At 36.3% G+C, this 14,055-nt stretch overlaps 1 long non-coding RNA gene across 3 annotated transcripts in view; it reads right to left on the bottom strand.

The window, feature by feature from the left end:
- The window catches only part of LINC02253 (long intergenic non-protein coding RNA 2253), a 197,799-nt gene extending 190,829 nt beyond the window's left edge, over window positions 1-6,970 (bottom strand). For all 3 annotated transcript variants that reach the window (NR_183855.1, NR_183853.1, NR_183854.1), the window contains exons 1-2: window positions 6,778-6,970; window positions 4,943-5,041 (exon numbers count right to left, since the gene is read on the bottom strand). This is a non-coding gene — a long non-coding RNA (long intergenic non-protein coding RNA 2253). The remainder of the gene's footprint in view (window positions 1-4,942; window positions 5,042-6,777) is intronic.
- Between the last annotated feature and the right edge of the window lie 7,085 nt (window positions 6,971-14,055).

Below are 14,055 nucleotides of genomic sequence, written 5' to 3'. Positions count from 1 at the left end.
TTAAATTAAAATATTTATAAACCTTTAGAAGATAAATTTAAAAGAAATTTAAAAATAAAAAGAAAAATCAACTGGTATTCAAAGCTTTCCAAACATACTTGAAAATGAAAAGTTGGTTGATGATAAAAATATTAATATTTTGCTTAATGATAGTGCATTATAGGGAAATATTGACATATGGTAATACACTTATTACAGACAGGAAAATCAGAATCTGAAAGCCCCATACCAACATTTTCAATGATTTGGAGAAAAGGTTGTCAAGAACATAAAGAAAATGAGAAAACTCACTGTAAATGGTTTAAAATTTTAATTCAAGAGATAGATTACGTATAGCATTTACTTATTAGCAATTCCTTTTGTGGCAAATAGTTCATAAAGAAATATTTAACTTATTTCTTCAAAGAAAAATGACAATGTAAGAAATCATTTGAGTGTACAAATCTTCCATTTTGATTGTGGTATTTCTAACTCTCAGTTTTTGGAGTATTCAACTGGTATATTATTATATATAACCTGCCATTCTTGCATATGTATTTTCTTTCAATTGTCTTGATCAATACAGGGAAAAATGCTATATAAATAGGGCAATTGAGCTTTATTAGTGTTTGAGGAAAAAAAATTCATCCATGTATAATTTTTGTTTATTTAGAACATTTTTTTAAAAGAAGTGAATGAAAGGAGCTATTTTTAAAGGTCATAATGAATGTTGTAGATGAATCATAGGTACACCTATTTAGCTCTCAAAAGCACAGGGATTCAGGAACAATATTTTTCCACAGTCTTCCTTGGCAAAGGAAGAAAATGAAAAGCATGAAATACAAGATCTGATCTGGGATTTTCATCTGTAATTTATTTAACAAATTTCCAAAGGCTATGATTACACAGAATAAGTAGTTGTGACAACTGTTTTTGGAGTCAGATCTAGATTCATATTCCAGAATTAACTCTTACTAGCTGTGTGAGTTTCAGTACGGACTTCAATCTTCTGTATCTCAGTTTTCTCATATATATCACGGGGTTAATAAGTTGGCATGTTTTATACAACAGTTATAAGAATTACATAAGATAAACAGTTAAATGTTTAATACAGTTCCTGGTGCATGATTAAATCTGTTAGCTATTATTAATGTTATATTATCAAAACAGAAGGGACAGGGAAGTCTTCGTAAACCACATCCTTAACCAGCATGTGGCTGAGAGTAGTTAAGGGCAACGGATCTGGGTCAGACTGCTTGAGTTTGACACTTACTAACCCTATCCAGCCCCAACTAAGCCTAACTCTAATTAACTCCATCTTACTCTAACTTACCTAGTTGTAAGATCTTGGCATACTATTAGTATTTAACCTATGACTCAGTTTTCTTATTAGGAAAACAAGCATAATTGATAGCACTTGTTCTGAGATTGTTATGAGAATGACATGTGCAGATAGGTTGAAGGTGCTTGGAACAGTCCCTGACACATGTGACTACTCTATACACATCCACCTTTTATCATTCCTTGAGCATCTACAGGTTTCACTACAGCTCAGTATCTGATAACATCATTAGAATAACAACCATTGCTGCACTTCTATACTCTTGGAAGCTCTTAAAAATCTACATGGACAAGTGCAATATTTAGAAAAATTATTTTCTGGGGAAAAGTCTGGAACCTTCAGAATCCACAGCTGCAAATATTAATTAAGAGCAACACATGTCTGAGCTCCCCAAGGCAGCCTTAGTTTTTACTTGGGCTCACAACTCCTGTTTTCCTCTCGTGAGGTGCCATATGTGCTCAAAAACCTTTGAGAGATTTTGCTTAGTGATCTACACCAGCTTCTTTTCTTTGTTCTCTTTAATACTCAGCAAGATTAAAATATCAGCCCAGTACTCCATAGAACCTGTAGAGTGCAGGTTACTTCCAACCACAGTGTTTGGACTAATTCCAGTATAACATCATTGCAAAGCGCATGCTTGCTGACTATGTAAACCAAGAAGGGAGTGTATAGTGTTTGTTTTGACAAGTTTGGCCCCACAGGGTTTGAGAATATGCTACTCTTGCTGTCTCAACCTTGGAAATTGGAACTATCATTAAAATAATAGTAAAAAATCATCTCCCCTTGCAAAGAGCTTCGGTGGCTTTTCCTTGCCTACAGGATCAAGTCTATCTTACCTAGCCTTTAAGGGCTCCCGTCCATTAGCTCTAATCACCTATCCTCTTGGCCACAGTGTTTGTTACAACGTGTCTATAAGCTTTTTCTCACAGAGTTCTATAACAAAATTAAAATTGAGGTCCAATTAGATCGAGAAACATATTCTAAGCTTCTCTAAGTATTCATACTGTACTTAACATAATAAAGGCTCTGAGAAGTCCTGCATTAAAGAAACTGGCCTGATTTCAGTTAATTCGAACTTATCCAACCAAATGAAGTGAACAACCAACCCAACCCCAAAGCAACTTTTGCCATTTGAGGCACAACCAACTGGAGAGACACTGTCGTAAAAGAAAAAATTATTCAATGAGACTAATTTATTTTCTCTTTCCAAATAACGTATGCCCCCACCCCTATTTCCTGAGTGTGTGCCTGTGCGTGTCTGTGTGTATGCGTGTGCATGAGTTTTCTCAAGTTGACCACATCCCTGGTCCTCCTTCCCCTAGGAATCCTTTTCTCCCACATTTTGACACACCCACACTGTGCCATTTGAGCCTCTCCTGTCATGTCTAGCAGACGATGACTTTCTCCCTGACCGAGATGGCTTCAGCCCTTACTATCTTATATGTCCTGCCGTTTACACCTGGTATCACATCAGTTCTCATTTTTACATATGCAAATTGCCAGTCTAAGTTCTTGAAATCATCAATCACTGTTCAGTTCTTTAAAAAATGGATCAACTTTGTAGTCAGGCTGTCGGATGAGGTCTCACAGCCCAACCTCTTCTCACTGGTGGCCTTGCTTTGGGCAAGTCTTTCCCCTCAGGGCCTCAACATCACAGTCTGAACATTCCTTATGGATTTGCTATCAGTATAAAGTAAGATACTTTTTTTTTTTAATGAGACAGAGTTTCGTTCTTGTTGCCCAGGCTGGAATGCAATGGCGTGATCTTAGCTCACTGCAATCTCTGCCTCCCAGGTTCAAACAACTCCCCTGCCTCCGCCTCCCAAATAGCTGTGATTACAGGCACCCACCACCACAACCAGCTAATTTTTTTGTATTTTTAGTATAAATGGAGTTTTCACCATGTTGGCCAGGCTCGTCTCTAGCTCCTGACCTCAGGTGATCCGCCCGCCTCGGCCTCCCAAAGTGCTGGGAAGTAAGATACTTTATGTGAAGGATCTGGCATACAGAGGACACTCAATAAATATCATTAATATTGTTGTCATGTCGCTCCCATGATGCCTAGCCTTTTATAGTTACTGAACGATTTTAGTCATTGGTTTAATTAATGGAATGATACTGTTTGCTCTCTGTAAAGTTCCTCAGCTTCTGTTATCCCATCTGTAACACACCAAGCAATAGGCATAGACAACGCAGTGGCGATGGGAATGTGCAAAGCATGTTGCAGGGATGAAAAGGGTGAGGGCTCTGGGACAGAAGCTGCAGGTGAGAGGGTCGAGAGGAGGTGGGGTTATAGCCAGCAAAGGGCTTTGAGGGTTAGCGCTGCCCCACTACACAGGCCACTCGGTCGTTTCTCTAACCAAGCGCCATGAGAATGGCACATGAACACCCTCTCGTCATTTATAATGTTTCTCTTTCTTGATCTAACAGGCCTGAACAATACGCTGATTTGATATTACACCATTCTGACAAAGAAAACGATATCGATTCTAAAAGGAATAGCGTGTTTTGTAATGTTAATGGCTTGAAACCTCTTTTTTCCCAATGCAGAATCTCTGTGAGAAAACAGTGGTCCTCATTAATGCCTTGCGCACAGACTCCTCATTGTTTTTACTTGTGCTATTTCTTTGCACTTGGATGCAGAAGCAATAAATTTCCAGGGAAATGAAACTCACTTATCAGATTTCCCAGCATCAAGTTTCATATTAGGAGTGAAAAAATCAGTCTAACTGGACTCAATATAGCTGTAAACCAATATATGTAAGCAGTATCAGAGATTAAGCCGTCATCGTTGCATTTGTGAGCTTCCCATTTCAATCTGGAAGGAATAACCATTTTCCTAGCTGTTATTTAATGATGTAAAATATTCCTTAAAACAATAAATCAAATCAATTCAGGCAACATTCAAAAGACCAAATATTGTTCTCTTTGAAAGAAAAGCATGAATCACATGAGCACATTTTCCCTCTAAAATGTTAATTTCTTAAATTTTAAAGGGAGTAATACTTTTACTCTTTTAGTGATGCTATCAAAGGTACTAAAAATCAGTTTATAAGGCAATCTGAAGATTCTCATTTAGCAAAAAAGTTCTTATTCCAAAGTCTTTGCTTTTTTAATTCAAGATCAAGTTCTAACCAATATAATTTGCTTAAAATTATTTTAGTTTACTATAAGGCACTTCCCTTTTTACCAAGAAAATATTCAGAGTCTCATATAAAAATATAAAGTTATTATTAAAATATGCAGCAATAACCGCGAATGAATTTATGTTTATCATTGCCCTGCTCGTTTGGTGAATGGGGAATGACTGAGATGCACTATAATTATTGGTTTCTCTATTTTATGTTTGGATTTTTACAAACATGCACATACAAACACAAATGCACACAATAAATGTATGTACAAGTTATTGCATATACTATGTATACTTAAAATTCTAATTAAAGCAGTTAGCTATGACTCTCATTTAGCAGCACGTAAAATGAGTAATTATGCTTGTTGAAAGAGGCTACGAAACAGCCTTAGCAACTGTGAAAGAGCATCTCATAGATCTGCAACCTTTAAACCAAAAAGTTGGTAGAGAGAAAAATCAGAAAGTAAAAACCAAATGTGATATCTTACCAGTGCTCTCTCTGCAAGTGTGCTGTGATGTATTGTTTATAAGCGATGTTTTCAACTTATAGTGCAAGAGTCCAGCGTCCTTCCTGCAAAAGCACATGCCTGCAGATTTAACCAAAATTTTCAAAGATTCAAAACGTGATAGCCATTTTATGAATACCTTCAATCCAGAGCATCTGCACAGTGTCTAAATTGAACATTTAGACAAATAATTTTAATTTTAAACTCCTCTTTAAGGAAAAACTTTGTTTAAAAAAAAAACACTTAAGGACCTAATTGTACACAAAAGATACTGTTCACAGACATTTATGCATTTGTAGTTTAGAAGAATGTTTTAAGATCATATATAAAATTATTTTGTACAATGGAATAAAAGAGAAAATAAGAAAGAAAAACAAAAACGAAAACAAGAAGATCCGTGCTGTGGCGAAAGAGGAAATAGAAACGGTTGAAGTTCTAACTCACTGGGCACTTGCAGCTCACCTCTGTTGAACAACTGGCCTTGAGAACTTTGTCAGTTACGTTTTATTCCACAAGTTTGTTGTTTCTGAATCCTCATTTTCACTTTTATAGATGGTCAGACAAGGCTTAAATAGTGCATCGATTTATTGCTATATATCAATTTCTAAAACAACTTAACCAAATCGCACTTATTGTCCTTTAATTAATATGTGCTCTTTAAACTTTATTTTTTTCTTTAAATATAGTCATTGCAGTTACAAATCTGCCCAGATCTCCAAATTCACCTACAGAGTGCCCAGAAAGTCCACCGTTCCCTTTCTGATCTCTGCCACTAGGAGGCACTGCAGCCTGCTTTATGAAGGGGATGAAATCTGGCGAAGTGAATATTCCACACAACTATGGCTCCGGTGTCATTCCCTATTTAATGGCTGTCAGTGAGGGGGAAAGACAACGCGGCGGGTAATTAAAACCAAATTGCAGGCAGGAGATGACTGCACAAGAATGATATTGTCATTAATACTGATTTAACATGCACCTGGGTAAGGTGAGGGAGTGCGGCAAGGGAATTCACACTGAAGCCAGGGTTGCCTGATTTAAAGATGTAGTGTTTCCAGCTGAAGCATGTTTAAAAACTGAATAAAACCATCATATTATGACAGCAGAAATAAAATGGAAACAAATGTTCTACATATGTCTGTAAAGAAAAAAAAACTTCTATTTGTTGTAGCTTCGTGGACGGAGCATGTGCCTCCTCTTCTGAAGTTCAAAAGTATTTTTGCAGAAGGCTTTCTTCCCCTGTTGTTGGCTTCTCCTGAATAGGTTTGTAATCTGCTCATGTAGTTTTCTGTTTTCACAAGACTGTGGAGCTAGAACATTTTGGGAGAGATATTTACCCCATGGGACTCAGGATTTTCCAATCATGAACACCTTGCTGAGGCCATTGAAATCTAGGACTGAAAGCTTGTCAAAGGTGTGGGCAATATTGTTAATAGTATGAAGCAGGTGGCTCACTAAAGTGAATTCCAACCCCCCCCCCCCCAAAAAAGAAGAGGATTTCTCATCTTAGCATCCCTGAAATCTCTTTAAAAATTTTAATGATAAATGGCAAAACCCAGGAAACAACCACTAATCTAAGTTCAAATTAAGTAGTCTATTTTACTTAACATACGTAAAATAATCTAGCTAATATCTTTCCATATTCACTAAAAATTTCCATATTATGGCTTAGGCTAAATTTTACATTTGTTGTCAGAGGAAAAATATCGTGGTCTAGATCATGTACAAATTAAAAGCAACCTCCTATTTAAAGGGTTATTGGATGTTTCAGGCAGAAAATGTGCCGAAGATTCGTTTACAATGGTTGCAGTTCACCCTACCATGTCCAGAGTTTGCTCCTTCCGGTGGATTCGTGGTCTCGCTGACTTCAAGAATGGAGCCCCGGACCTTGGCTGTAAGTGTCACAGCTCTTAAAGATGGCATGGACCCAAAGAGAGAGCAGCATTAAGATTTATTGTCAAGAGCGAAAGAACAAAGCTTCCACAGACGGGAAGCGGACCTGCGCTGTTTGCCGTTGCTGGCTGGGGTAAGCAGCTCTTATTCCCTTATTTTTCCTGCCCATGTCCTGCTGATTGGTCCATTTTACAGTGTGCTGATTGGTCCATTTTACAGTGTCCTGATTGGTGCATTTTACAAACCTCTAGCTAGCTACAGAGCACTGATTGGTGCGTTTTACAATCCCAGCTACAGAGTGCTGATTGGTGCATTTTACAATCCTCTTGTAAGACAGAAAAGTTTTCCAAGTCCCTCCACCCAGAAGTCCAGCTGGCTTCACCTCTCACGACATTGAAAACGCTGTTCTGATTGATAAATCTCCTTCTGGTTTCACCTTAAATGAAATGTGTGCATTATAGAAATTGTTACCCTTCTGCCCAGCTCCAAAAGAGATGAATCATTAGGGATGTCATGAAGATTTTTAATCACATCATAAAGAAAGTAAATTCAAAGAGCATTCGTTCGGCAATAAAGAACATATTATTGAGAAAGAGCTCACTAAACAAGGTCAGGTAGGGAAAAATGATCAAATGTCATGGCTGCTGGATCTAGACCATGAGAGTTTTTTTCATGCCCAAATCATGATTTACAGAACAGTGATCAAATCTTCTAAATTTATTCCACAATACTTGGCTATTTACATTTTTAACGGGTTTTACATTTACAGATCTTTTATTTATCTATTTGTTGGTTTGTTTCATTTCTTCATTTTTGGAGATGGTCGCTGGACTCAGGAGCAGGTAGACATATAAAAAGCGCAAGTAAGCCTAATAACATTGAAAAATGGATAAAAGTTGGGACTTCTGCCTTTATGAAGCAGTACACATATTCTGTTCTATCACGGGATCCACTACTGGCTACTGAGATTTTAGAGGATTAAGTGAGAGATGGAAGAGAAAGTTTATTTCACTTGCCCTTTATAAAATGTCAAAGACAATTTTCTCCAAGAAGGAAATTTCTGGAAACTGTGACACTTCCTGGATGATCCAACCTGCCCATTCAGGCCAGGGGCTCTTTGATACCGGAAACCCAAGGCAGAAGAAGCTGCCCTTTGGATGCCAGACAGAATTTTGTTTTCCAATTCAGTTTTCACATTTGCACTGAAGACATCAGTGAAGCTCATCTCCACTCAAGTATGTGAATTATCTAGGATCAGTGGCTCTTATTGGGGAGTGGTGGAAGAAGATCCCAGTGGTCTCAATGGAGAAATAATTTTGGAAATGATGAGTATCCTCACATTTCAAGCTGTACAATGACTGCACGGTACGTGAAAGCCCAATTGTTAAGGAAACTTGCTGACGTGAGTGAAAGGGACAATTATTTGGACAGAAAAGGATGCTTTGCTATAATTAATATTGACTTAGGAACAGCTACACGTGGCAGGTCCCCTTGTTCTGACTGGTCTGTACCAGGGCACATGTGTTGGAGACATGCACAGTTACAAAAGGATCAGCATTTAAGCTCTCTTTCCGATTTTCACCCCATTTACTTTTGGATGAAACCTGGCACTCACAATCTCTTGAACTGTTCTCCCAGGTTGACGGTGTAACAAATATAATTTTTCAGCAAGATGGCTGCTGCCAGAAGCAGGCTCAGAAATGTCCATTTTAATTAAACATTTTACTTTCAATTACATTTCACAGTTTGCACATGGTGACACACGCTTTCATCACAAGGACTTTCAGATTGCTACATTAGTACTGTCTTCCTATGCAGGGAAATGTGTGTCAGTGAAAATTACTCACATATGAAAAACACACTTTTTCCTTTGACTCGATCTATGGGAATTTATTTACAAAAAGAGAATAGTAGTAGCTATTTCTAGACTTCTGGCCAGATTTTGAGGTGTTCAGTAGCAGGGAGCCCCCAAACTGATAAAGGGGCAATGGTGTGATAACTTATAGCAGAAGAAACCTGTGTTTTGTTATGTATACTCTTTCTTGATATGAGAAAAATATATGGCTATGCAACTTTACTGATGTTTCTGTGCCAAGATAAGTTATTTTAAAAAACAATTTTCACTTAAAAGTATCCAAAATTTATAAAGTACCCCTAAAAGCAAATTAACCAGATTTGATTCCTATCCTCCAGAAGCTTATAATACAAAGCATACACTCACACAGACATGTATTTTTTTTCAAAATGATACATAAACACATATTTCAAGAACCTTTTTAGATGTCTCCAGATTAGGAAAATATCTTTACTGCAACAAGATAGTAAACTCATTGGTGGCTCTTTCCGGAGCACACCACTTGAATAATTTATCATTCCAAGAACGCAGGGAAGAACTTTTTGTCAGTGTGCAGGTTATACATTTCTTTTTAAGCAGGTAAAATTGGGGAATAGTGCAGCCCAGGCATCGTTTTTTAAGTATTCATCTGAGATGGGAGTCCTGGAGAGAAAACAGTTTGCGAGAGACCTCTTCACATTGTTTTAAGTGAAATATCTTGGGCGATCGTCCCCCCATCTTAGAGATTTAACTAGAAATTAAGCAAGAGCTGAAATTCTCCTGGACCAAATGCTCTCTGCCGATTCCCCTACAAATAAGCCTCCATGGCAATTTCTTGGTTAGAGTAAGCCTAGGAGGGAACTATGTAGAGGAAAAGAAAGGTTTAATTTGGTTCTTTCAGTTTCACTTTTGAACACTGTTTTTTCTTCCTTTATAAATGTATTATTATTAAATTATATTAAATGTGTCAGTCTGCCTTTCTTTCCTTCTTTCCTCCCTCCCTCCCCTCCCTCCCTCCCTTCCCTCCCTTCCTTCCTTTCTTCCTTCCTTGCCTCCTTCCTTCTTTCCTCTCTTTCGTCTTTCCTTCCTTTCTTCTTTTATTTCTTCATAAAAAGTAGGCTCAGAAAAATATATTTGTATATGATTTAGTTATTTGTTTCACATGATTTCCACATTAGTAGAATTATCTCAAAGAGAACTGAGAGGTCAGCTTTTACAGGATATTATATTATAAAATTCATATTTTTGTCATGGAGGGGGACGCATGCTTGCATTTAATTCTGAAAGGAACACATTAAGAAAATATCTTCACAGAATGTAGATATAATAATTCTAAAGTTAGAAAAGTATTCAAAAAACTTACCAGTATAACTGTGAATGATGCTAGGACTAAATTCAAGATTAGCCCACTGCATAGAACAGATAGTTTTTCAAAGTTTACCTTCGCAAGACCGTTTTTTTTTAATAATTGCTTGCATGAGCTAAAACTCATGACAGCCACGTAAGACAGGAGATTATTATTTCTCAAATGTAGAAACTGAAGTACTTAGGCAAAGACACACATTTGGAACGCCCGTGTTGAGATAATGTTTCACCTGACAAGCTGATGCAGTGAATCCCCATGCTCCCACACAGTTATATGTGGAATGAAGAGCCAAGCATACATCCCATTTAAGGAAATGAGGTGTGCTCCTCCTGCACTAATCTCCAGAAAGACGAAGCCTTAAAATATCAGCTGGACAAAAAGACTCCCCAAAAAAAGGCTGTGGGCCACCCACAGAAAGCAGGCAGGACTAGCTGTGGGATGCAGCCCATATTCAGAAAAGTGATCACCCATAGAACCCATGTAAAGTATATAGCTACATCCTTTGAACAATTGTACATATATATGTGCACATATGTGTAACACATACATGCCACTAGTGTGTTTTATTATCTGGATGATGGTAAAAGATGTCTTTGCACATAATTACTCAATTTTGAAACTAACCCACCCATCAACACTGAAAATATTAGTAATCTACTAGTTAGATTTTCTTATTATTGTTAATATTATATTATTGTTGTTGTTATTTTATCATTCTAATGACTAACACAGGGCTAGCATCTGAGTCCTTCTCCCATCATTTACCCCAGAATGACCTTAACCAAGTAACTAACTTGCCTCTTTAGTTATTATTTTTTTCTTTGCAACATTATAATAAAAATAATAATTGGCTTATCTAGGCATACAACAATTAAATAAGTGAATGTATGTAAAGTACTGAGCCTAGGATATAAAAAAGAATTTATACTCAATAAATGTTAACTAATTATTATTATGCATAAACAGATACAGCATTTCAACTTCTAAGGAAATGCAGATATCGTAGACCAAGTTATTTATGAGTTTACATTATTAAGCCTGTCCTAAGTACTGACTACAGAGCTTAGTACCCAAGAAGTACCCAAGAAGTGATTTTCAATTAATTAAATATTTATCTTGACCGTGTTTTAAAATACGCTAATCTTAGTATGCAGGATAAGGTTTACACTTAATACGGGTTCCCTGAAGAGAGTTACACTGCCCTCTCATCTCTCCTTATCTTTAAAAAATTCTTATAGAATGTCTTTCTCCTAAATTGTTTCCAGGTTGTTGGCTATTATGGTTAATGCTGCCATAAATATTTGCATGTATGCCATTGAAATGAATATATATCTTTTGATTTCTTTTGGGCAGCTATCTAGAAGTTGAATTTCCAGATTATATGGTTAGTTTACGTTTAACTTTTTAAGAAGCTGCCAAAGAGTTTTCAAAATAGCTGTACTATTTTACATACCCCTGGGCAATGTATGAAGGTTCCTGTTACTCCATGATCTCACCGATGCTTGTCATTGTCTGACTTTTGCATTATGATGATTCCAGTGGACATTTAGTGTTGTCTCATTATGGTTTAAATTTGTATTCCCTAATGACTAATGATGTTGAGCATTTTCTCATGGGTTTATTTGGTCTTTGGTGAAATTTTATTGAAGTTGTTGCCCATGTTTTAAATTAGATTTTACTTTCTTATTATTAAATTGTAAGTGATATTTATGTATTTTAGATCTACGATTTTTTAAAATCAGATATATGATTTGAAAATATTTATTCTCATGCTTTCACTTCTTTTTATTCTCTTAACACTGTCCTTTTAAGCAGAACTTTTGAATGTGGATGAAGTGAAATGTATCCAACTGTTCTTCTATATATCAAGACCTCAGTGTCATATCTATCAACTCTTTGTGTATTGACAGTTAGGAAGGATTTTCTCACAAATCTTTAATCTTGAACTTATATTTTTTATCCGTTACGTTTAGGCTTATTATCCTTTTTGAGTTAGCTTTTGCAAATGGTGAGAGATAGAGATCAAGTTCATTTTGTGCATGCAGTATCTACTTGTCTTAACTTCACTTGTTGAAAAGACTCTTCTTTTCCTGATTGAAATACCTTGGCACCTTTGTTAAAGATACCAATTGCCCACAGATGTACAAATTTACCTATGGAATTTGAAATCTGTTCCATTAATCTAAATGCTTATATTTGCATAATCACAGCACCTTTTGATTAATCTGGCTTTACAGTAATCTTTTCTATAAGGTAGTTTGGTAGGCAGCACCTTAAAATTATCTTCTAGATTTCCCACCATAATCCCTGGGACTATGAATATGATAAAATATTATGCCTAGATTATGAGACACTACTTGGTAATAGTGACTTTGCATGTGTGATTAAGGTTACTAATCAGTAGGCTTTGAGTTAATCAAAAGAGAGCTCTTGGGTTTGGTGGCGCATGCCTGTAATTCCAGCTACTCGGGAGGCTGAGGCAGGAGAATCACTTGAACCAGGGAGTCAGAGGCTGCGGTAAGCCGAGATCGTGCCATTGCACTCCAGCCTTGAGACAGAGTGTGAGACTCTGTGTCAAAAAAAAAAAAAAAAAAAAAAAAAAAGGCTTCTCTGCATGGACCTAATCTAATGACACCAGTGCTTTGACAGCAGACTTTCTCTGACAGCAGCAGAGAATATCTAGGAGAGATTTTGTGTGTGAGAAAGATGTGGTACACTGTTGCTTCCTTAAGGATGGAGGAAGCATTATGAAAACAAATGCAGGAGGGCTCTAGAAGCAAACAGCAGCTTCTAAGTGATAGCAGCATGGTGGTAGGTGCTTCAGTTCTGCAGCAGGAAGAAGGCAATTTTTTCCAAGAACAGGAATGAGCTTTGAGATCAGTTGAGAACAAAGCTAGCTGACATTTTTATTTCATTCCTGTGATACATCGAGCATAAAAATCAGCCCTGCCATGCTGCACTTCTGATACACGGAACTGTGATGGACTAAATGGTTTTTGTTTAAATGGCTCCATTTGTGATCATTTATTTTATGACAAAAGTAAACTAACGAAGACATTGTAAATTCTTCAACTTTATCTTTTTCAAAATTGATACGGATGTCCTAAGCACTCTTCATTTTCATACAAATTTTGAAATTTGACTTGTTAAATTCTACAAAGAGGTCTGCAGGATTGCACAGAATTGGTAGGTCATTTGAGGTAGAATTGCCATCTTAATAATGTTAAGCCTTTCAATCTATGACATTGAATAAATGTTCTTTTATTTAAATCTTTTTCTAATCCCTCTCAACAATGTTTTATTTTTCTTAATATACAAATCTTGCAATATTTTATTAAACTTATTCCTAGGTGTTTTTTCTTTCTATGATATTATCAATGGAGTTATTTTCTTAATTTTAGTTTTGAATTGTTCCTTGCTAGTAAACAAAAATGCAATTGATTTCTGGAGAGTGAATTTGTATCTTCTGCCCTTGCTGAAAATGTTTGTTTTAGTAGTTTTTGAGGTGATTCCTCAGGATTTTTTACACAAAGTATCGAGTTAGGTGCAAAAAATGACGTGAAATTTTCCTTTCCAAACCCATTGCTTTTTCTCCCCCACTATGAAATATACTTAGATATCAAGGAAAATGTTGAACAGAAAGTGGTGAGACTGGACAAACTTGTCATGTCCCCCATCTTAGCTAGAAACACTAATGGTTCAGTCTTTAACCGTTAAGCTTGATGTCAGCTGTGAAGCATTTTTAATAGATATTTTTATTAAATTGAGAAGTTCCATTTTATAACCAATTTGCAGAATGATTGTTAAATTGGTAAATTGTTGAATGTGTGTTAAACTTTGTAATATGCTTCCTTAATCTATTAAAAGGATACTATTTTTGTTTGTTATTCTATCAATATGGTACATTACATTAATTTTTTTGGATGCTAAACTAAGCTTTGATTCCTAGAGTAAACCTCACTTGTCATGATATATGATGCTTTTTTAATATGTTGCTCGATTTCT

This window comes from Homo sapiens, chromosome 15, assembly GCF_000001405.40.
Source record: "Homo sapiens chromosome 15, GRCh38.p14 Primary Assembly".
Lineage (NCBI taxonomy): Eukaryota > Metazoa > Chordata > Mammalia > Primates > Hominidae > Homo > Homo sapiens.
Note: the sequence above shows the minus strand (reverse complement) of the source record. Positions and strands in the feature narration are given on the sequence as shown.